The sequence below is a fragment of the Homo sapiens genome, unplaced genomic scaffold, assembly GCF_000001405.40.
Source record: "Homo sapiens unplaced genomic scaffold, GRCh38.p14 Primary Assembly HSCHRUN_RANDOM_CTG23".
NCBI lineage: Eukaryota > Metazoa > Chordata > Mammalia > Primates > Hominidae > Homo > Homo sapiens.
Window position 1 is genome coordinate 32,740 of NT_187501.1, and position 24,409 is coordinate 57,148.

General features: G+C 35.3%; 1 long non-coding RNA gene and 1 pseudogene across 1 annotated transcript; one reads left to right on the forward strand and one right to left on the reverse strand.

The window, feature by feature from the left end:
* Window positions 1–325: 325 nt before the first annotated feature.
* On the forward strand, window positions 326–7,817 carry LOC729369 (ankyrin repeat domain-containing protein 36B-like; annotated as a pseudogene).
* Window positions 7,818–8,767: 950 nt separating this feature from the next.
* LOC105379557 (uncharacterized) lies at window positions 8,768–15,747 on the reverse strand. The gene is made up of 3 exons (XR_001756172.2): window positions 15,622–15,747; window positions 10,007–10,108; window positions 8,768–9,814 (listed from the first exon to the last, which is right to left on the reverse strand). It is a non-coding gene; the product is annotated as an uncharacterized LOC105379557 (long non-coding RNA).
* Between the last annotated feature and the right edge of the window lie 8,662 nt (window positions 15,748–24,409).

The window sequence follows — 24,409 nt, forward strand, 5'->3', positions numbered from 1 at the left end:
GTATCAACTTGTTTATAAAAAGTAACTTTATGTTAATTAACTAAATGATTCATCCTAACTGAGGAGTAATTACTGTGTGAAGAAAAGATAATTTTTATCCTGTAACTTTACTGAATAATTTTCAACATCCTTTTTCATACTATTTGCTGGAGTTACTAGTAACAGAAACTTATGCAGGTTGTTCTTTTATCAATACATTTCAACTTACACATGTCCTTTGGATGAGATTTAGGTGAGAAACTAAAAACATGAGAACTAGAAAGAAAAATAATATTTAAGAACATAGAAATTTCTTTAGGATAATAAACCAACATACGAATGTTTTCTAATATCAACAAAGAGAGTCAAACTCTGTAAGATATTTGAAGAGATTTATTCTGAGCCAAATATGAGTGACTGTGGCCCCTGACACAGCCCTCAGGAGGTCCTGAGAACATGTTCCCAAGGTGGTCGGGGCGCAGCTTGGTTTTATTCATTTTAGGGAGGCATGAGACATCAATCAAATACATTTAAGAAATACATTGGTTTGGTTCAGAAAGGCAGGCCAACTCAAAGCTGGGGTTTCCAGGCTATAGGTAAATTTAAACATTTTCTCGTTGACAATTGGTTGAGTTTATTTGAAGAGCTGGGATTAATGGAAAGAAATGTTCAGGTTAAGATAAATGATTGTGGAGACCTAGTTTTATTGTGCAGAGAAATCTCTCAGCAGACTTCAGAGAGAGCAGTTGTAAAATGTTTCTTATCGGACCCAAAAGGGTGCCTGGCTGTTAGCTGATTATCCCCTGGATCTGCATAGAAAGGAAGGAAAACAAAGGGGAAAGGGGGTACTCTATAGAATGTGGATTTTTCCCACAAGAGACTTTGCAGGGCAATTTCAAGGCATGGCAAGGAAATATATTTTGGATTAAATATTTTCTTCCTTGTCTCATAATGTTATGCCAGAGTCAGATTGAAAAGCAAGTCACAATATACAGGGTCAAATAAAACCCATCTGATGAGAATCCATGGTTTGTAGAGCATGACTCCCTGGACCCCTTAGGTAGGAATTTGGGCAAGATAAAAAATTAGAGCTTAGTCCTCACTGATAAGATAAATTCTAAGATAAGTATATTTACAGATTTGCCATGCAGCAAGAAAAAAAGAAAAGAAGAAATGTTGAAGAGTTGCACCAAAAAGTTAGGGAAAAGTTAAGAATAACAAAAGAGCAATGGAAGATAGAAGCTGATACGACAAAACAAATTAAACCGGCTCTTGAATCAGTGGAGGTGGAATTGAAGACAGGAGGAAATAATTCAAATCAGGTAAATTAATGCTTGGTAAAACTTCATATTTCTACTCATTAATATTACTTACAATATCTCTTTCATTTAATGTATATTATTTAGACCTAAACAGTCCCCAAATTTTATTTCATCTTAAAAATGAATCATGGTGGGCCGGGCGCGGTGGCTCACGCCTGTAATCCCAGCACTTTGGGAGGCTGAGGCAGGCGGATCACAAGGTCAGGAGATCGAGACCATCCTGGCTAACACGGTGAAACCCTGTCTCTACTAAAAATGCAAAAAAAAGTAGCCAGGCGTGGTGGCGGGCACCTGTAGTCTCAGCTACTAGGGAGGCTGAGGCAGGAGAATGGCGTGAACCCAGGAGGTGGAGCTTGCAGTGAGCCGAGATCCCGCCACTGCACTCCAGCCTGGGCGACAGAGTGAGACTCTGTCTCAAAAAAAAAATAAAAATAAAAAATAAAAAAAAGAATCATGGCATTTATAGCTACAATTATTTATAATAAATCTTGAAATATTTTATTTTAGTTCAAAGGCCTTATGTAAACAATGCTATTCTTTAATATATACTTAATGATATTGTAAGTATTTTGTTCCTAGTGACATAGTTCAGCATATTTTCCCCTATTTCATGTTAATTACGTTTCAAATGTTATGGAAAAGAAATAAAAGTTATCACAATAGTAAATAATCTCATGATTTTCTAAAAAGAGCTTTATAAATTTAATTTTCTTGACTTTTGGTGTCTTGAAATAGAAGATTATTTTTGTATGTATGTATCTACCTCACAGAAGTTATTGATTTGGTGGAAGAGCACTAGGATTAGAGTCAGAAAAGCTGGGAAAAATCCTGCAGCTTCCTTATATTTTTAACCTTTTGCTATAGAATTATAACTAAATGAGTTCATTGATTTGTGTGTGTAAAAGTGCTTAGTACAATGCCTAGACTTATCATTTATCAATAAATATCATTCTTAAAACTGACCATAAAAATATTAGAAAAGTAGAATATCTAGACAATATTTTAGAAAAAGGGAGCTTAAAGAATTTGGAAAATGTCATTCATCTGTCCAAATGTCTGCCAAGCTAAGGCTCTCACTACAGGGAGAGGTATAGTTTAGATGTTAGAGTGTAAACCCAATTTTTTAATGTGGTCATAGTTATTAATTCTTCATGCCTTGCAAATTGTTGTAATTCAGTAAAAGCCTTTTTTCATCCTGAAATTTAAAAAAATTATCTAGTGGTTTCTTTTTTGCTTTCATGGATTCACTGTCTTCAAATAAACTTTTGAACTTTGGGGAATTTATGCCATATGAGGTTTGAGGTTTTGACTCAACTTCTTTTTTCCCATTTAGATATACAGTTATGGCAACCTCTCATTGTATAAATGTACGGGTTATTATTTAATTTCAGAAACAATCACAATATGTTATCCTATTGGATACTAGTTACAAGTTTTCTTTGTTTTATTTAGATTTCTGAAACTGATGAAAAAGAAGACCTGCTGCATGAAAACCTCTTGATGCAAGATGAAATTGCCTGGCTCAGGCTGGAAAAAGACACAATAAGAAACCAAAACCTGGAAAATAAATACTTAAAAGACTTTGAAATTGTGAAAAGAAAGCGTGAAGACCTTCAAAAGGCTCTAAAACGGAATGGGGAAACATTAGCAAAAATGATAGCCTGTTACAGTGGACAGCTTGCTGCTCTGACAGATGAAAACACAACGCTGCATTCCAAACTGGAGAAGCAAAGAGAGAGCAGGCAAAGACTGGAAACAGAAATGCAATCATGTGGTTGTAGACTCAATGCTGCTCTATGTGATCATGATCAAAGTCATTCATCAGAAAGAGATCAAGAGCTTGCTTTCCAGGGCACAGTAGATAAATGGTGTCATTTACAGGAAAATTTGAATGTTTGTATTCTGATTCTTTCTCTCTGCAACTTTCCAAAGCTTGAGAGTAAGTCCAGAGTCCTCGAAACTGAGTTCCATTACACAAGAGAGGCTCTGAAAGAAAAGGCTTTGGTTTTTGAACACGTGCAAAGTGAGCTAAAGCAAAAACAGAGTCGAATGAAGGACACTGAAAAAATGTACAAAAGTGGATACAGTACAATGGAAAAATGCATAGAAAAGCAGGAAAGATTTTGTCAACTAAAAAAACAAAATATGTTGCTTCAACAGCAACTGGATGATGCTCGCAACAAAGCTGACAATCAAGAAAAAGCAATACTTAATATTCAAGCCAGATGTCATGCTAGAGTAGAAAGCCTTCAAGCTGAGTGCAGAAAGCACCGTCTTTTACTAGAAGAAAACAGTAAAATGTTGGTCAATGGATTGAATCATTTGAAAGAAAAAGAACGTCAATATGAAAAAGAGAAAGCAGAAAGAGAAGTAAGTATCAAGAAAAATAAGTATTTTTCAAACTTCCTGAAGCACAATTTAAAGTAATATTTGGTTACAGCTGAATGTTGGATCTAGTTGAATATAAAAAAGGATACATATGATAAATATAACTGCTTAGAAACATTCCTTGTTTCCAACAAGTCAAAGTTAGATCTGAGAGATGTTTTCCTCTGATTAAAGTCAATGTGTCACTTATAAAATTTTAAGTTATAAAATGTTAATATAGACTAATAGTAATAATATAGTCATACTACTGAAATAATAATTTTAATGTATTTATGTTGCAACATTTTAAGACCATGATAAATCAGATATATGGAAATGCTCATACCTAAAATGGTATTTTGAAGTTGATTCAATAAATTGGGGTACTTTGACAGTTAATTTCAGATTTCCTAGATGAGCTGAAGTGTATTCCCTATTTCATAATTACTTTTCTTCAGTAGCTTTAAATATGTCTTAGTAGGTAAAATTTTGTTCTTCTTCATGTCAGTTTGACTTAAATCTGAAACTATTTCAATCTCAAGTTATGTATAGATATGATCATTCTATTTTCAAAGGCATCTAATTTTACTTATAATATGGGGAAAATGAAGTAAATTTTAGCCAAATCATATTTGATTTAATCTTCCCACTGGCATTTATAATTTACTTTCATTTTTAAATAAAAAATTTGCTCCTAATTTTTATTTCAAGGCTCAATTACTATCATTTGGATATAACTTTGTCCAGGACAAAAGAGGCATAGCTATCTGTGATTTATTAGTTTGACACTGCATCCCCATTTTCAGACTAAGGAGGATTTCAGACTAACGAGGAGTGGCAGGACTCAGAGTAGGAATGGAGTGAGTAGGGAGGAGAGATATAGCAGCTGAGTCAGGGTGGGAGGTGGAGGGCAGGTTACTTAGAGCATCTAAGGCCACTGTAATTTTACTTTTCTTCTGAGATAGACATCTATTGGAAGCATTTAAGCAGATGATTTAATGTGACGAACTCTGAGGTTGATTTGAGTTTCTAATAAAAAGAAAGAGGGAAATCATTCCACAATGTATAATTTACTACCATCGGTCTCAACCACATACTCATTTCTTTTTGAGACTTCAGGTTTTTAAGCATTGCAGATTCATCAGGGGAGGAATGACTAGTGGGCTGAATATGTTGTGTGAATAACAATACCAGTTTGGCAGGAAGATAACACCTTCTGTATCCTTAACTGGATTCAGTAATACACAGGAATGTGTACACATGAGGAAAAGAAGGTGAATCGATCTGTGTGGTGATATTTTTCAAAGTGTATGCTTTAGAGTTAAATATTATTAATGGTTTAATAATAAGGTGATTTGTAAAATCAGTAACAAAAATAACATCAGGTAGCTGTGAGACAGCTTCAATGAAAACAAGATGATGTCTTAAACAATCAGCAACAAAAGCTTTGCTGGATGCTTCATCGCGTCATTGCATCTATTTAGAAAATGAGATGCAGGATTCAAGGAAGAAATTAGACCAGATGAGAAGTCAAGTATGTATGAAACTTTGCATGCCAACAACTGTTAATCTGTAGCTAGTTAACTAATATAAAGTGTTTTGGGGTACTAATTTTAGTGGATGGCTTTCTTTTGTATTTTTATTATAATTAATTTTATTAAAATTTTATAGTGGATGGCTTTCTTTTGTATTTTCCTTATTATTAATTTTATTAAAATTTTATTATAATGCACCTATATCTTAATCTCTTTTATTCTGCCATTTTTAATACATATTTTTTTCTTAAATATTTAACCTTAGGAAAGTTGAGAATTATGCATCATTTCTCACAGAAGTTGAGAGAGTTTTTTTTTTTTACCTGTTAAACAGTCTATTTTTAATGATTTCTCTGTTGGCATGGTGAGGCAAGCCAGATTAATTCAGAGGACAGTGTCTAATGGAATGTTTCAGAAAATTATCTTATTTTTAGTCTCTACTTTTCTGAACGTATAAAGAACTTGTGTTTACTTATTTCATAGATTTCAGGTTAACTTGTTCAGAAAGGCCATTTTACTGAATAAATTTTTATTTTGATGAAAATCCTTACTCTCTTTCTATTGGGCTCAGAGAGCACATTTTGTCTCTATATGAATATGGACAGTTAGCATTTGCCAACATGTATCTATTTTCTCTTATTTATAGAAAAAGCTAAACTAAAAAGGGGGTTATATAAGGTCAGCAAAGGATGAGTTTGAGATGTTCGGGTTGGTTAAGTGGGCATTTAGACAACAAGGTTTCTCCTTTGGCATGTTTAATGGACATCTTTGCAGTTTAAGATGACGCTTTTAAATTACTTCTCTCCTAATGATGACTTGAGTCCTGCTATTCAATGGGAGAGTCAATAAGATCCTGTAGGATCTTATTTGGAACTGACTTTGTCGATTTTAATTTTGTTCCTGCTTGTTTTTAAATTTTCTTGTTGTTTCCCTAGAAAGGAAAGATGACGCTTAGTTTTAAATATTTAAAAATGTGCAAGTTGCTTTGCTATAATAAAACTAAATGCATACATACAAAAAATAAAATTATAGTTGATGTGGTAGTGTTTGGAATTCAAAATATAAATGCTTAGCATGAGGTAATCCTTTATCTTTCCACATTTTACCAGTTTGCAAGTTTGAGTATTTAACTGATAAAATGTAATACAAAAGCAAGAAGAATGTTGTGTTTTAGTCCTAGAGCAGGGGTCTGTGAACTTTTCTGTAAAGGGCCAGATAGTATTATTTAAGGCTTTGTGAGCCATAATATCACTGTTGCAATAACTCAGCCCTGCAGTTATAGCACAAAAGTAGCCACAAACAATATGCAGATTGAAGGGGTGTGGCAGTGTCCCACTAAAATTAATTACAAAAAACAGGTAATGGGATGATTTATCCTAGATTCTGACCTTTTTTAAATAAAAAAGATTGTGATAGTCTAAAATATTTTATATATATTTTGTTGATTCATTCATCTACTGATGGACATTTAGGTCATTTCCAAATGTAATTTTTTTTAATTCTTTGTTTTAGTTTCAAGAAATACAGGATCAACTTACAGCTACTATAAGATGTACTAAGGAGATGGAAGGTGATGCACAAAAGTAAAATTTGAAGCAGCACACAAAATAACTTGAGTATTTATAAAGCAAAAGAGCACTGTAGTATGAAAATTGTATCAGTTATGATAAGTATGTCTTTGTGAAGCCAAAAATGTTTCATCTGTAAGCTATATTGACATACATCATTTTTCTACATTATTCCTAAATTTTGCATATTATCAACAAAACACAGGTAGAAAAAATGACACAGTAGCCCAGTCATCTACTCTTGTGTTTGTTAAGAATTTGTGTAATTATACCTTCAGAAGTTTGTTTAGAATTTACATGATTTAAAAACAATTATATGTGAGAGTAATTATTTTAAAATGCACATTTTAGGCTTGAAGTAGAAAATGCCATGATGAGAAAAACGATTAAAAAACAGTATGACCAAATTGAGCGGCTTGAGAAAATCCTGCAGCGTTCAAGTTTGGTAAGCTGATCTCTTAATTTCTGTCATACTGAAAACGAATTTTATTTTTCCAGTAGGACGGGTTAAATATCCCTTGTCCAAAATGCTTGGGACCAAAAGTAGATTTTTTTCAGATTTTGGAATATTTGTATATACCTAATGAAATATCTTGGGGATGGTACCTGAGTCTAAACATGAAATTCATTTATGTTTCATATATACCTTATGCACATAGCCTGAAGGTAATTCTCTACAATATTTTACAGTAATTTTTTGCAGGTAACAAAGTTTTTACTGTTTTCCCCAGAGCCTGTCACATGAGGTCAGGTGTGGAACATTGCAGTTGTGGTGTCATGTCCGTGCTCAAAAAGTTTCAGGTTGTAGAGCATTTTGGATTTCAGATTTATAGTTTAGGGATGATCAATCTACAGTACAGAAGCTCCTTGACTTGCAGTGGGTTTACATGATAATGTCTCTTGTTTGACTGAAACTTTATAAGTAATATTTGATTTATTTCAGATGCTGCCAGGTGTTCAAGAGCTAGATGAAGGTATGTTGCCAAAATTTATGAATTAAATTCAAATCATTGATTTCTGAAATAAACTGTAAGTAGTGAATGGTATTCCTCTCAATTGCTTGGTTAATACATGCTACATTAAATATTTTTTCTTACACACATCTAGTGAAAGATGTGAAAACATAATCATTCATAGTGAAGAGTATACTTATGCTTTGTTACTTCATCATGTTCCATAGCTTTAAAAAAAATCACAAGAAGTCTGTGTATCTCTTTTTTTCTGGCCCTACACTTTTCTTCTGCCACCCCTATAGAACTGTCAGCCTGCACACTGAAACTGTTCTCATAAAACAAAGGCATCATCAACTTCTCAAGGTTAAGGTAGTGATTTAAGGCTAACAGACCCCACACTCATGTGATAATAATTGGTTAAGCAATTACAGGTCACAAGCAGTCACTTGACCAGTGACATTTTAAATCTCTAGTCATTGACTTTGTCATTGGTTTACTTTTGCACCTGGGAAAAGTTGAAAATTCCTTAGCATGGAATCAAAACTCTCACATCAGTGTGGTTCTTGTCAGGTTATTCAGCCTTATCTTTCGCCACTTACCATACTCTGCACCTTTGTTCTAGCATCCAGCCAAACTAGACTACACGGAGCTCCACAGTGATCATCCTCACCTCCACCTCTTTGCATTTACTTCTTCCCTCTATCCTACATGTGTTTTCCTTCCCCTTCAGATATCAACCTATGAATTGCCTCTATCAAAAAGCCTACAATATTGACACAAACCTGGGCTAGTATCCCTTCTATGTCTTCCAGTAAGTGGTGTCTTATGCCTGTCATTGTATGTATGACTCTGTATGGGAATTGCCTGTTTGTTTTTTCGGATTATAGCATACAGTTGTTGAGGGGTGCACCGTATCATCTTTATCTTGTTAATCCAGTGCTTGTCCTAGTACCTTAGCACATGGTTGCTGAATACATGAATGAAGAGTGAGAAACCAGAAGCTCTGATACTTAACTGCCATGATAATGAAATCAGTGTGCAACTATGGGCAAATTATATTTAATAGTAATTGCATATTGTACATATTTTTCATTCTTATTAACACTGATAAACTTTTCAACTTATACTGACTTTCTCTCAGTTAACTGTGAAATCATTTAGATAAAGAATATAATTCTTTTTCATTCTAACTTCTGAATTTAAATCTGAATCCTCTATAGCAGGGGTCCCCAACCCCCAGGCCACAGTCAGGTCCATGGAGTATACAGTTTAAGACCTCTGCTGTACAGCTATACCTCCATGCTTGCTTTCAGTGGCCATGACACTTTATTCAAATATGTAAGTTTTATTAAGACTGAGTTCTTAAAAAGAAAAAACCAAGAACCTTAGATACAACTAGTGAAGTATTGAGACCTGTCCATATTTAAAACCAAGCACACAATACCACTTAAAACGTTCCCCAGAAAGCCTCTATACTGAAATGCTTGAAAGTGAGCAGTGCTGACTCTCGATTATTACCAATTGCATTAAATATGACACTTGTTTTGTTTCTTTTGGCTATAAGGAGAAAATCTCATTTTGTATATGAGTGAGCACAGAGGAGAGAGAATGCGGGAAAGAATAGAATGGGCCAATAATTTTTTACTAAATACTCCAGTTCTCAGCTTTTTAAATCAACAGACAAAATGAATCACCTAAACCTAAAATCTTTGTGAATAGTATAAATTGTCTTTTAAATTAAATGCATATATTTTTATGTTTTACTTTTTCAAGACAAAAGCAGGATATTAGTACAATATAAGATTTATAGAGGAGCAAATTTCTTGAGATAGGAAACCCTTAAAAGCAGTATTTAAAGTGCTTAAATACTGTCACATATGTTTAATAATCATAATACTTAATTGTGAGAACTAGGAGCTCATATTACTACTAAAACCAAATAAAAATTCAATACGTATTTGTTAACTCAATTTAAGGATGTTTACCTTAATACTGACACAGTGTGGATGGTAACACTGACCACACTGAGAACAGGCAAGTAATCTTCCTTCTGCTCCTTGGCCAAAACTGCCACAAACTACACACATATCCTGAAGTTAAGAAAACAGAACATATTTTAAATGGAGACTAAGCTAAAAACCTACAAATTTTACTTTAAAAATACCTTCTTAACTAATATAGCTCTATAGCTAAATATTGGATCACTTCTGTGTATATGAGATAAAGCAGAAATGTGCAAGGAGGAATTCAATGAGGAAGACAGTAAATTGTCAAGTTCAAACCTGATTCAAAGTGAATTTGTCACTGCTAGAAAACAACACAACCGTAGTGTGCATAGAGTTTTCTTCATCATCCTTATTTGATGAAATATCTGCAGTAGACACCTATAAAAAAGCAAAATACACAAAATACGAAGTTATATTTTTCACTTGTTTTACACTTAACTGGAAAGCTTCAGAAAATTCATAATCAAAACATATATTTTTGCTAAGGTCTAGAATAACAATTCCAAATATTAATGCTAAGATAGTACTATAAAATGGAGTCATGACATTTTATTATTCACCTAATTCTCTCTTTAGAGGTAGAATTCCTATAGACCAATAAGTAATGAGAAAATATAATAAACCTGTCTTAGTAAGACTTGATTATGCAGAATTCTAATCAAGAAACTATAAATGATAATATTATATGTATGTACACACACAAATCTATCACTATTTTAATGACACACACTTGGGATCTGCAATGTAGTTAGTCTGAACTGAGATGTCCTGCAAACATAAAATACAGCACATAATTACATATTACATGTTGAAATGGTAATATTTTAGATATATCGAAATGGAAGGCATTAAAATTAATTTTGCCTGTTCACTATAACCTTTGTTTTGAGAGGAGTTTCACTCTTGTTACCCAGGCTGGAGTGTAATAGCATGATCTCAGCTCGTTGCAACCTCTGCCTCCTGGTTCAAGCTGTTCTCCCTGCCTCAGCCTCCCAAGTAGCTGGGATTACAGTTGTCCACCACCATGCCCAGCTAATTTCTGTATTTTTAGTAGAGACGGGGTTTCACCATATTGGTCAGGCTGGTCTCTTAACTCCTGACCTCAAATGATCCACTGCACCCAGCTCATTGTAACTTATTAATGTGGTTACTAGGAAGTTTTAAGGTGCATATGTGGTTCTCATTATATTTCTATTAGCACCGCTTTAGAATATTATTTTGAATAACATCAAAATTTCAGTATTAGCCAAATGATTATCAACCAATATTGTTCAGTCTGGGCTTAGTTCTATTTGACTAAATCAACTAAATACCCACTGGTTTGTTAATAATTTCTAGAGTGATTATGAAACAAAATAAAGCTCTGAACTAGAAGTTGTAGAAGAAGACAAGGAGGGCACTGCCAAAATCATAAAATACAATCCTCTTTCTTTAAAAAGCTTACAATCGAAGCCTGGAAAGACAGTTGAAACACAACAGGTTATGTTCAAGGTCAAAACATAATACAACTGAATTACTTTTCTTGAGGAACAACTGAAAGAAGATTAACCAGCTGGGTGTGGTGGCTCATGCTTATAATCTTAGCACTTTGGGAGGCTAAAGTGGGTGGATTGCTTGAGCTCAGGAGTTCGAGACAAGCCTGGGCAACATGGTGAAATCCTGTCTCTACCAAAAATGCAAAAAACAGCCGAGCATGGTGGCACACGCCTGTAGTCTCAGCTACTCAGGAGGCTGAGGCAGGAGAATCACTTGAACCCAGGAGGCAGAGGTTACAGTGAGCCAAGATTATGCCACTGCACTACAGGCTGGGGGACAGAGCGAGACCCTGTCTCCCAAAAAAAAAAAAAAAAAAAAAGGAAGGAAGTTTGGTTGGTTAACTAAATAGAAGGACTACATCTCGGTATTTTTCAATACAAATACATTTAAAAGCAGTTTTTTTGTTTTTTTTTGTTTGTTTTTGAGACAGTCTCTCGCTATGTCACCCAGGCTGGAGTGCAGTGGCACAATCTTGGCTCACTGCAAGCTCTGTCTCCCAGGTTCACGGCATTCTCCTGCCTCAGCCTCCCGAGTAGCTGGGACTACAGGCGCCTGCCACCATGCCCGGCTAATTTTTTGTATTTTTAGTAGAGATGGGGTTTCACCATGTTAGCCAGGATGCCAGGATGGTCTCGATCTCCTGACCTCATGATCCGCCCACCTCGGCCTCCCAAAGTGCTGGGATTACAGGCATGAGCCACCGTGCCCAGCCTAAAAGCAGTTTTAATGGATAGTACTAATGCTTTATAAGAGCAATTTATAGTCATATGAACCCTAATGACTACAAGTGTTAATAATGCCAATATTAATCATTAGGGAGTAAGTAAAGCAATGACAAATCCAAACATTAGGAAAGTACGAAACATTTTAAAAGTAGGGAGGTAGAAACTTGTATAGACTGCCATGAAAGAAATTATCAAAAGACACTGTTGAGTGAAAAAATAAATTGCAGAACAGTATTTGAGGTATAGCACTATAATATAAAAACATGCAAATTCATTATATGTAGTCTATGGGCACATATAATAGGTTGACTCATAAGAAATTGCTGCTTTTCATCAGTTCAGAAATAATATTGGCAATTTCATATGGATCAACCTAATATATAAATATACCAAACTGGTAACAGGGAAATAAGGAGGACTGAGGAGTTAGTAATGGTAAATTCTGATCTACCTATAACACTTTAATTCTTTTAATAGAGAAAATGCATTGATGTGTTATATGCATAGCATTAACAAAATCAGCTTTCTAAGATTTTAGAGAATCATCCAAGATGATTCACAGAAGTAGAATCATCATCATCAGTAAGAAATTAAGTGACTACTAAAAGTAATCATTAATTCAGTCATAGGACTAATGATGCATTGACAAGACTATTGAGATATATAATTTTGGAAATGGCTAAAATAGAGATAAAGTATCTATTTCTACCTCCCAACCACTTACAGAAAATTCAACACATTATACACACTGAGCAGCTCAAAGAAATTGTAAAGATCCATTATTATTTTTAAAAGGAAGTTTAACCAGTGAATGCTTTCATTGAAAATGATAAACAATATATTCCCAGTATAAACCAGAAATAAAGTCTGCAGTAGAAAACTACAATGTCCCTAGATTCAAGTGGGGGTGGGGAGTCATATTTAAATAATAAGTGCAGAAAAACCAAAATATTTTAAAATAATTGTCCATGCAAGAAAGAAAACAGTATCATCTAGCTTGAAGACCCACTGTTTTTATTTTATAATTTATTTCATGACCTTTAGACTGCTAGAAAAATAAAACCTAACTTGAGGGCAAAGGTAGTCTTTGAGAAAATATGTGCTATTGTTGCCTGCATAGATAATAGTGTGATTTATCCAGAAGGTGATAGAAATATCATTTTCCTAGACGACAGATATAAGCCAAGGAGAATAGAAAGCTCTGACCTAAACTTCACAAGTGTCCCTTCCAAGCAGGGACACGTAAGAGTAAACAAAAAAAGAAGATCAAATTAAACTCAAAGTGAGAAGATAGGAAAAAATAAAGATGAGAATATAAATCAATAAAACAGAAAGGGGAAAGAAAATAGAGAAAAGTCCATGAAAACAAAGGCTGACTCAAGAAGATCAATAAGATTGATAAATCTCTAGACAGACTGATCAGGAAAAAAATAAGACAAGATACAAATTATTAGTATCAAGAATGAGGAAGGTGAAATCACTACAGATTCTACAGGTATTAAAATAATAAGAAACATTATGATCAACTCCATTCCTTTAATTTGTCAAGATAGACGAAATGAACAAATTTCTTGAAAGATGCAAATTTATGAAAGGAGAGACAGATAACCTAAATAGGTACCTATTAAAGAAATAAAATTTGTTGTTAAAAACTGTCCCACAGGCTGGGCACTGGTGGCTCATCCAGTAATCCCAGCACTTTGGGAGACGGATCACCTGAAGTCAGGAGTTCAAGACCAGCCTGGCCAACATGGCAAAACCACATCTCTACCCAAAACACAAAAATTAGCCAGGCATGTTGGTGCATGCCAGTAATCCCAGCTACTCAGAAGGCTGAGGCAGGAGAATTGCTTGAACCTGGGAGGTGGAGTCTGTAGTGAGCAGAGATCACACCACTGCACTCCAGCCTGGGCATGGTGGCTCATGCCTGTAATCCCAACACTTTAGGAGGCCAAGGCAGGTGGATCACCTGAGGTCAGGAGTTCGAGACCAGCCTGGCCAACATGGTGAAAACCTGTCTCTACTAAAAATACAAAAAAAGAAATTATCCAGGCATGGTGGCAGGCACCTGTAATCCCAGCTACCCAGGGGGCTGAGGCAGGGGAATCACTTGAGCCTGGGAGGCAGTGGTTGCATGAGCTGAGATTGTGCCATTGCACTCCAGCCTAGGCAACAAGAGTGAAACTCCATCACAAAAGAAAGAAAGAAAAAAAAAAAGAAAACACAACAAAAACCCCCCACAAAGAAAATTTCAGGCCAAGATGGTTTCACTAATAAATTCATGTATAATATAAGAAGATACATTTCCACTACTACACAACTTTTTCAGAAAACTGAAGAGGAGAATATACTTTCTGATTCATTCTATGAAGCTGGAGTTATGCTGATACCAAAACCAGACGAAGACATTACAAGAATGTAAGACTACAGGCTGGGGCATGGTGACTCACGCCTGTAATCCCAGCATTTTGGGAAGCCAAGGTGGGAAAATTGCTTGAGCTCAGAAGTTCGAGACCAGCCTGGACAACATAGTGAGATGCTGTCTCTATCAAAAATTTTAAAAAAGTAGTTGGGTGTGGTGGCACACACTTATGGTCCCAGCTACTTGGGAGACGGAGGTGGGAGGTCAAAGCTGGAGTTAGCTATGATCGCACCACTGCACTCCAGCCAGGAATTAGAACGAGAACCTGTCTCAGGAAAAAAAAAGAAGAAAAAAAAGTGCACAGGTCTACAACCGTGGTGCATCCACAGTTTAATTAATACACAGCAAGAAAAGGGAGTACACTGTTAACAAATACAACAGCATAGATGAATCTCCAAATAATTGTGCTGAAATAAATCAGTGCAAAAAGCATACAGTTCTGTATGATTCCACTTATATACAACTTTAGAAAATGCAAACTAATCTTGGGGACAAGGACGGATGGCGGGGGAATGCAGAAAATTACAGAGGGACATGAAGAAACGTTGGGAGATGAATATATTCACTGTCATGATTGTGGTATCGTTTTCAAGGGTGTATATATATATATCAAAGCTGATGGAATTGTACATGTCAAGTCAAATATAGCTTATATCAACTATACCTCAATAAGCCTGGTTTTAAAATTTTTCTTTTTGAAAAAAGGATGAGAATCTAACCTTCCTTATTCCTGGTTTATTAGTAAACTTGAACAATTTCACCTGTCTCCTATACTTAAAATGACATTTCAGAATTTTAAAAACAGGATTTTAATAAAATAGCGAAGTTATTACATAAAATATTTGCTAGTAGTTAGCAAATGTATTTGTAATACACATACAAATAAAGCTTCATAACATGATAGTAAGCAAATATCTATCAATCTTAAAATTTTTTAAATAAAAGAGCAACTATATTACATAATGACTTTTTAGAGAGGGTTGGCATAGAAAGATAAGGAGTCAAAGAGGAAGGTAAGAAAAGAGAAAGGGTGAGAAAGTAAATATACAAGAAAATGTAACCAGAGGCTCAAAAAAAAGAAAAGTAGGACAGTAAAATAAACATTTTGACCTATTTATATGACTCATAAAATCAAAATAACTTGCTATGAGATTTTCATCATTAACTGACATTTAGATTAGAGAAAATATACATGAAGCAAGCCTCACCCCAGGCAATACAAGAGCTCCGATTCCACTTTTCAGCTTTGACCTGCCTCGGCCACCTCGCCCCGACAGTCCTGCACCTCGAGGTCTCCACTTTCTTGGAAATCCAGACCCATGGCCCTATGTAACAGATTAGGAAAAGTCAACATTCTGTTACAGCCCAAAATAATTTTTAAATCCAAATGCCACTGAGATAAAACATTTTATTAAATGTTATACAAACACTTCTTTAGATAAGTATTAAAAGACCTGGCTTATTATTTTTATCTTTAAAAGTATACTCCACAACTTAAAAATCTAAATATAAAATGCTTACAACCTTAGAATCATACTTTAGGCCTGTCACTGTGAACGCTATCAGCAAGCCTTTGCATGATTTTTCTCTTTCCCACTCCTACATTCTCGGTGATGACAACAACTGTAGCCTGATCCAGATATTTCGAAGTGCAACAAATCGTATTCAATATAGAGTAAGGATAAGGAAAAACTCTCTCATTAACTGGTCTCGCAGTGATTACAGTAATAGCTAACATCTATTGAGTAATTACTATGTACTAATCTAAGTATTTTTTACTCTCATCCATCCCATATAGTAGGTTTTATTATCCTCATTTGAGATGAGTGTGCTGAGGAATAAAATGGTTAAGTAACTTGTCCAAGGTTACTTAGCTAGCAAGCCTGGCTCCAGCGTCCCTGGGTTGGAAGCATATTCTGTACTGCTACATCAGCATGAAAGTTCATTTTTGCTAGTGTGTGACAGTATTCTTCCTGTCATTAAAATTAAGTCAGTTTCCTTCACTATTCAACAGTTCTCTTATGAACTCAACATTTCTACCTCATTCACCATTGTATTTAGAGGAAAATTTATTATTATTGTTATTACTTTTATTTTTGAGACAAGAACTTGATCTGTCACTCAGGTTGGACTGCAGTGGTGTGATCACAGCTCACTGCAGCCTAGAACTCTTGGGCTCAAGTGATCCTCCTGCTTCTGCCTCCCAAAGTGCCAGGATTATGGGAGTAAGCCAAAGCATCCAGCCAGGAAAAATTATTTGAGGATTACAGGAAAGCTGACAAAAGGCTTTGTGAAAGCTTTGCTTTAAATAATCTGAATAATAAATACTTGAAATGGAAATAATTTATCTGACTTCTTACACAAGAAATAAACCTATGGGAAAATGTGTTAAATTCCCTGATAATTTCAGACATTAAGTACCAGAGTATCGTGTTCCCTGCCCCCTCACCCTTGTTTGTACTAATTAATTACTCCTTGAAAAAACCTGGCACCTACCTAAGTAGAAGAATTATGTATATTTAAAATTATCCAGATGCTCAGGAAAATACTTAGATGTTTCCCTCATGATAAGTTAAATAATATGTCATATCTTCAACTGATGTCCCTTATCATAGTTTGAAATGAACTTATTCCCTATTTAGCAGAATGGTTTCCAAGTCAAAAATTTATGGTGATACTGTAAACATAAAATAGATACACATGAACAAAAGGAACGGGAGGAATGGCTTTTCTCCCTTTGGATGTAATAAATACAGCCAGCTCCCAGTTTCAAACTGCCACTCCTGTCTTCTCTTACCCTGCTCTCCTTGAGATCCCTTTAGAGAAGTGCATCAGGTTCTTTGCACAACGGATGGATGGGGTCAGGTTAGTTTTTTGGGTTTTTTGTTTGTTTTTGAGACGGAGTCTTGCTTCTTTGCCCAGGCTGGAGTGTGATGGTGCGATCTTGGCTCACTGCAACCTCCGTCTCCTGGGTTCAAACAATTCTCCTGCCTCAGCTTCCCTAGCAGCTGGGATTACAGGCACATGACACCACGCGCGGCTAAATTTCTTTGTATTTTTAGTAGAGACGGGGTTTCACCATGTTGGCCAGGTTGGCCTCGAACTCCTGACCTCAAGTGATTTGCCCCCTCAGCCTCCCAAAGTGTTGGGATTACAGGCATGAGCCACTGCACCCAGCCGAGTTTGTTTTGTGTTATTAAATTGGTATAAAAGATTTTTGAAAAATTAAGTCAGTGATTAAAAATCAAGACTACAGTAGTCTCTCAATTTATTTTCTCTAACATGAAATGCTGACCCAGAAAAAAATTAAGTAAAAACTGGTGGTCTATATTATCAAACTGTCAAATGAGGCATATTTATACTTCAATATCTTGGATGATATCAGGGGGAGGTAGGGAGTTTAAAAAAATAGTTCTTCCAGTCATGAAAGAAAATAAAGTATAATCTAGAATTCCTTAAAATCCTTCATTAGTCTAAATTAAACAGCCATATTCCAGAATATTAAATATAGAATATGAAGAAAAACTGTCATCTCCAGTCAATGAAGTTTTTTAACTTTTGAGTTAATACTTTTTCAAAGTAATTTTTTTCTCTCCGAAATGCATCACACTACTTAACTCACTTCAAGGACTGGCAGAGCCATCAACCAATGTCATAGGGGAAAAAGCCTTGTCATTTTAAGGTATTAAACAGACAATGAAATCTGCCACAATTTTGGTATTTCTTCTCCATGAGAACATAATAAATTAATGGAGTTTTTTCTTTTGCTTTTTTCTAAGCAACAAAGTTTTATGATATCATGAATGAAAAGATCCTTAATTACCTTTTGTTCTACACGTCAAGGACTTCTCCCTCATAAAACCAGTAGTAATCACAACAAAAGGAATTAACCATAAAAAGAGGTATTAAAAATGTATACTTGATTTTTAAATGCAAGCATATTATTTCTTTACATTAAAATTTTTAGATTTAAAAAGCGTTTCTGGAAACTCAATCTAGAAAAGAAAGACTTAATTCTTAACATCCAGTAGGGCAAAACAAATCAGACCGAAATGATATATGAATGTAAATGTAATTTTATGTACCACTTTGATGCTCCAAATTGCACTGCTAGGAAGTGCCTGGGTTTAAAAATTTCCCGACCTCCTGAAATGTCTGGGGACCAGGAGGGTGGGCTCACTGTATTATGGGTACTCCAAGCCTCCTAAGATATGGCAGTTGAGAAAATAGATGTGTAAAACTCAGCAACATAAAAGGTCAAAGCCAGCAACTAAGGAATTTTAGGACAGCAAAAACAAATGCAAACGTATGGAAATTTAGGACAAATTGCTTCAAGGAAGGCAAAATAAGCTAATCACTAACAGTGATTTAAACATTTAACTATAACAAATAACTTAAATGTTTGCTGCTACAGAGACATCATTACAATGAAACATTAAAAATTAGGGTTTATATGACATCAACTTTGACTCATGAACTGCAATTACTGCACCAAAAAGTAAATAAACGTCAATCACACTTTAAGAATTAACACTAGAAGAAAGTATTGGGGGGTTATTTTTCTTCTAACAACTATCACTCTACTTAAAAGGAGAAATGGATAACCACAAGGAATTCTATATTCTATAGCTATAAACAACAAAAACCAGTAGGCCAAAGAATGCAATGAGAAACATAAGCAATCGATAAATGCATACACTTTTAACTGTAGAGAGCTGGTAACATTAAAATGCAAATACCATTATAATCTTAGCATTTAATCACTCTTTCTTCAGTGACCATTAGTTGTCGGTTTGGTTTCGGTTTTTACTTAGGGAAATGAATACTTTATGGAAATTACATCCAATGGACAAAAGTGAAGAAACGTTAAAGCAAATTGTCCTAAATTTGCAAATTAAAATGCCTAAAGTGCCTGATAAATTATGTAGAAAGTACTATCTTATTAAAATCTATATAACTAAAACTAAAGCATTTTACTTCTGAACAACCACATTCAGCAATACCCTGAACTAATCTGAAGATGCTAAACAGCATAAAGAAAAATGTTTACTCCACAAAGATAACATTTTAAAGAAAAACAAGACAAATGTCAAACAATAAAAGAATATATTTTGAATTAGGTAATTCAATGGTGCATGCATAATTTTACCAATCAAGTAACCAAAACTTAAGGTACATAGTACTTACCAGGTTTCTAGAATATCATCAAATTAACAAGTACTATCTCATTAATCACATAAAAATACCACCAGGAATTAAAATAACCAGAAATAAGAATGTGACTACTCTTGGGGTAAGAGATAGGTAATTGAATAACAGTATTTTGAGAAAAGCCACACAAGCAATAGACTGGTTTCATTTTTAAGTCACAAACTCAACCCGCACACATTGAAGTCCAGCAATCCAACTCATTCTCTCCAGCAAACACTTTATTTTTTCCCTTCCAGGATTACCCTCAGGTGTTCTTTCTTACCCATCAAATCTCTAACCTAGCTCAGGTAATCACTAGGCTGATTTCACTGAGCAGCAACCACTGCAGGTCAATTACCTCACTTTCATAATTTCCAATCAACTTGAATCTGTACCTATGTCTTCTTCCCTACTATTAATAGGGAACTGTTGTCAAAAGCCATTTCTCTCTTCTCATTTTACTCATGCTCCTGACATCTGTCATACTGTTCTGCTGGATTTGGCAGCAGTCCACCTGTGGATATTTCACTGACTTCCTCGCTAATCTTTCTTCATCTCCTGTACGTGTTCTTCCTCTATTTGACTTCCAAAGCCCTGGAGTTTCCCAGGGCTTGAGCCTAGATCCTAAATGGTATTATCTACAATGAGGACATCTTGGAAGTTGATGCTTCCCACATTCTTATTTCTGGTTTTAAACAAAGATCTCCAAATTAGAAGGATTTTCAACTTCCTTCTTAGCATTTCCATTTTCTCACACAAAACCCCTCTTAAGTTTGCCATGTTTAAAATTTCTCCCTTAACCGGTTTCATCCCAGTCTTCCCCATCCTTATAAATGGCATCCAGTCCCTTGTCACTCTCCTCTGCTTCTTCAGTCCTCTCCCCCAACACTTCGTCAATGCAAATCATCAGCAAATTCAAGACTTTTTATCTTCAAGTTTTGTCTCCAATCCTTCTACTTCTTGTCACTTCCACCACTAGCAGCACACTCGTGGCCACCACCATCTCTCACCTAACCTGCTACAAGAGTCTACTGCTGGTTATGCTTCTCCCACCCTGCATCTACTCAAACCTTTCCCCACAGCAGCCAGAGGAACTTTTCAAAAGTACAAATGTGATCAAGCAAGTCACTATTCTATTTCAAACCTTCAATTGCTTCTCAGAGCACTTAAAATACAAACCTTTCCCAGTGCCTTTCTCTAACTCATCATGTGGCACTTGTCTCCCTGCTGCTATGCTCCAGCTATTCTGGCTTCCTTGCTGTCCTTCAAACATGCCAAGCTCTGTATCAATCAGAGCCCAGCTGACTCACAACACTTCACTATACCATTCTGGCTCTTCAATAAATGTCTGGCATTTTCTTTCTTTCTTTTTTTTTTTGAGATGGAGTCTCACTCTGTCACCCAGGCTAGAGTGTGGTGGTGTGATCTCGGCTCACTGCAACCTCTATCTCCCAGGTTCAAGCAATTCTCCTGCCTCAAGCCTCCTGAGTAGCTGGGATTACAGGCATGCACCACCAGGCCCGGCTAATTTTTGTATTTTAGGAGCAATAACATGTTGGTCAGGCTGGTCTCAAACACCTGACCTTGTGATCCACCAGGCTTGGCATCCCAAAGTGCTGGGATTACAGATGTGATCCACCATGGCCAGCCATGTCTGGCATTTTCTAACTCTTCAGGTATGGCCTTACATATTTTCTCACCAGGAGACCTTTCCTTAGTGCTCCCAGTGAACCATCATCTCTCTTACCACACCATTAGTGCCTCTCATTGCATCACCACCTAGGACATTTTATTGTTTGTAATTTTATTTAGTGGTAGGCAGTGGGGCAAGAGATACCTAAATTACTTCTCTCAATATTTCCATTGGTTTTTCTCTGAGATTTGGCTAACATACATCTTAAATTCTTTTTAGTCAATAGTTTAATATTATGTTGGCAGTAGACAGTTCTAAAAAATATGAGACAGAAAGTCATACTCTAAGATAAAAATAATGTTGAATAATTTTATTTCAGAAATAAGAATTTTCTGGTAATTATGTATTATTCATCATAATTTAAAAGTTAGCTTTGATGCCAAAATTTTATCTCACTTTGAAAAGACAGACTTTGTGTAATTTTATAGTTCTGAAGAAAAATTATCATTATACTTAGATATTCTGACAAATTATCTAGTATATTCCTTAGACCTTAAAACTAAAATATAGCTATAATTATCAAAGTTTAAATTATCCTTCAGATCTTAGCTTTGATCAAGAATTTACACAAACCATTCAGAAAAGGTTACCTGCCCCTGTAATGTATGGGCTCTTCTCCTACAATCCAGTTGCAGCACTTTTTACACTGTAATTAAAGATCATGCCCCTTTCTGTCCACTGCTACGTTAAGCACACTGTTCAGCACTTACTGAACTTTTTTTCTGCTGAGCATCTATTATCTTTTTTTGCATGTGTGTATGAATTCATCAATAAACAATGAGCTATGATATGAAACACACTAATGCCTCCACCAGTAATAACCTAGAATCTTGAATTTCTTCACTTAAAAAAAAGTTACTAAAAATTACTAAAAAATCTATATAATGCCTCCTTAATCTACAAACTGAATTAAAAGCAAAATAGTTCCTAATGTAATCATTATTAAGTTGTAAATAGAATCAACTTGCTATCAAATACTACAGAAACTAAAAAAACACTACCTGGCAGGGACTGAATTTGAACCCAAGAAAAATAATTTAACCCAAAAATAGTTTAATATTAGCATTAAGTTTCTTTCTGCTTTGAGGCCAATTTCTCAGGTAAACTGTCCAAGCTAGTAAGTTATACAAGGACTGTGGGATGGGGAAATGAGAACAATAATGACAAGTTGAGGATAGGCTATTTAGAAGCAACTTTCTATTAAAAGTCAAATTCTATTGCTGATTGTTAAATATGATCAAAGTCATTCTTACAGCCCAAGAGTACTATCAGTTTTAAAAGCAGCCATAGAAGGTTTGGTGTCTCAAAGGCAAACTTTACACCTCCAAATCTTAAATCAACCCCGGCACCACACTCTTCCAACATACTATGTAAAACCAAGGTTGCTTATAAACAGTAAGTCTAATTTAGGAAAAGTGAAAGCAATGAAGACAGAGGGCAGAAAGGAAGATAACTGGTAAAAGAAACAAAAGAGTTTACAGTTTGTCTTTTTGGTAAATATAATCACTTGTATACACTGGAGCTACAGCAGCAAACACTTCACTCTTTAGGGAATTCTTAAAAGAAGTCTCATATATAAAATTGAGTTCAATATCAAGTAGAACAAGAAATTAGACCCAATCCTGTTTTGATAACTACAGAAACAGCTATTACCAGCTTTAGCCTTCAATAATTTCACAATACAAATTAGGTAGTGCTAGCAACAGTAATGTCTCCAAAAATACCACAACAAGCACAAGTGAACTAAAAGCAAATTCTGGTACTTCTAATCTGCTGTGTTGTTAGCTTGGTGTTCCAAAGGGGTAGATATTTTTTAGGTTTAACACTATGGTTCTCTGGCTACTTTTAAAACTGAAAGTACTCTTCTTATAATATAAAGTAAACTTCTAATAATTTGTCCAAGAGATATCAAAATACAGTACCTATGTTTTCATTTATGAAATTTTCTTGAAATATTTACTGCAGTCTGGGCGTGGTGGCTCACCCCTGTAACCCCAGCACTTAGGGAGGACAAGGCGGGTGGATCACCTGAGGTCAGGATTTCAAGACCAGCCTAACCAATATGGCGAAACACCATCTCTACTAAAAATATAAAAAAAATTAGCCAGGTGTGTTGACGTGCGCCTGTAGTCCCTGCTACTCAGGAAGCTGAGACAGGAGAACTGCTTGAGCAAGGCAGGCAGAGGCTGCAGTGAGCGAGGTCGTGCCACAACTCCAGCCTGGGTGACAGAGCAAGACTCAATCTCAAAGAAATAAATAAAAATAAAATAAAGAAATATCTACTGCAAATAATACGTTTCATAAAATGCTTAATAAAAACTTTCAATACCACCATGAAAGCAATTAGAACATGAGGGTGTCTGAAGTAGATCATAGTAGTGTGATTACATTCAATATCTTTCTATAAGACGTGATGATACATACAGGGTAAATCATACAAGAAGACCTAAGATTATTATCTCAGAATTTCCTAATTAGAATGGGAATACAATTGTGCAATGAGAGAAATGGACTGAAGACAGAAATAAAAACAAATGTTATGATTTAATATGACAAATTTAAAATTTCCACTTTATTTTCCACCATTTTTAAAGAGCATTCCTTATAGTATTAATTTTAATGCATTTTTAAAAATCAGTAAGACAAGTAGCACATTTCTCTAGTTCAGGACTCCACTTTCAGGGTTACAGTTAAAGATGATCCTAGAAGTGCATTTTAATTGGTCTAGGGTAAGGTCATTAGCTTGATGTTCTAAAATCTACTGAGTTGATTACAATATGTGTCAGTGTCAATAACCACTTTCTTAAACCCAGGTCGCAAAGCACATATACCTATAGAAATGTTGAAAATGGGCCAGGCGCTGTGGGGCTCACACCTGTAATCCCAGCACTCTGGGAGACCCGAGATGGGAGGATCACTTGAGGCCAGGACTTTGTAACCAGCCTGGTCTACACAGCAAGACCCCCATCTCTATAAAAAAATAAAAAATATTTTTAAATGCTGAAAAATGAAATACTAAATTATTTATGAATATATAACTTCAATAAAAGATGAGAAAATACAACTAGGTCATTAGGACAATTTGTATGAAACAATATCCAATTTGCTGTCTG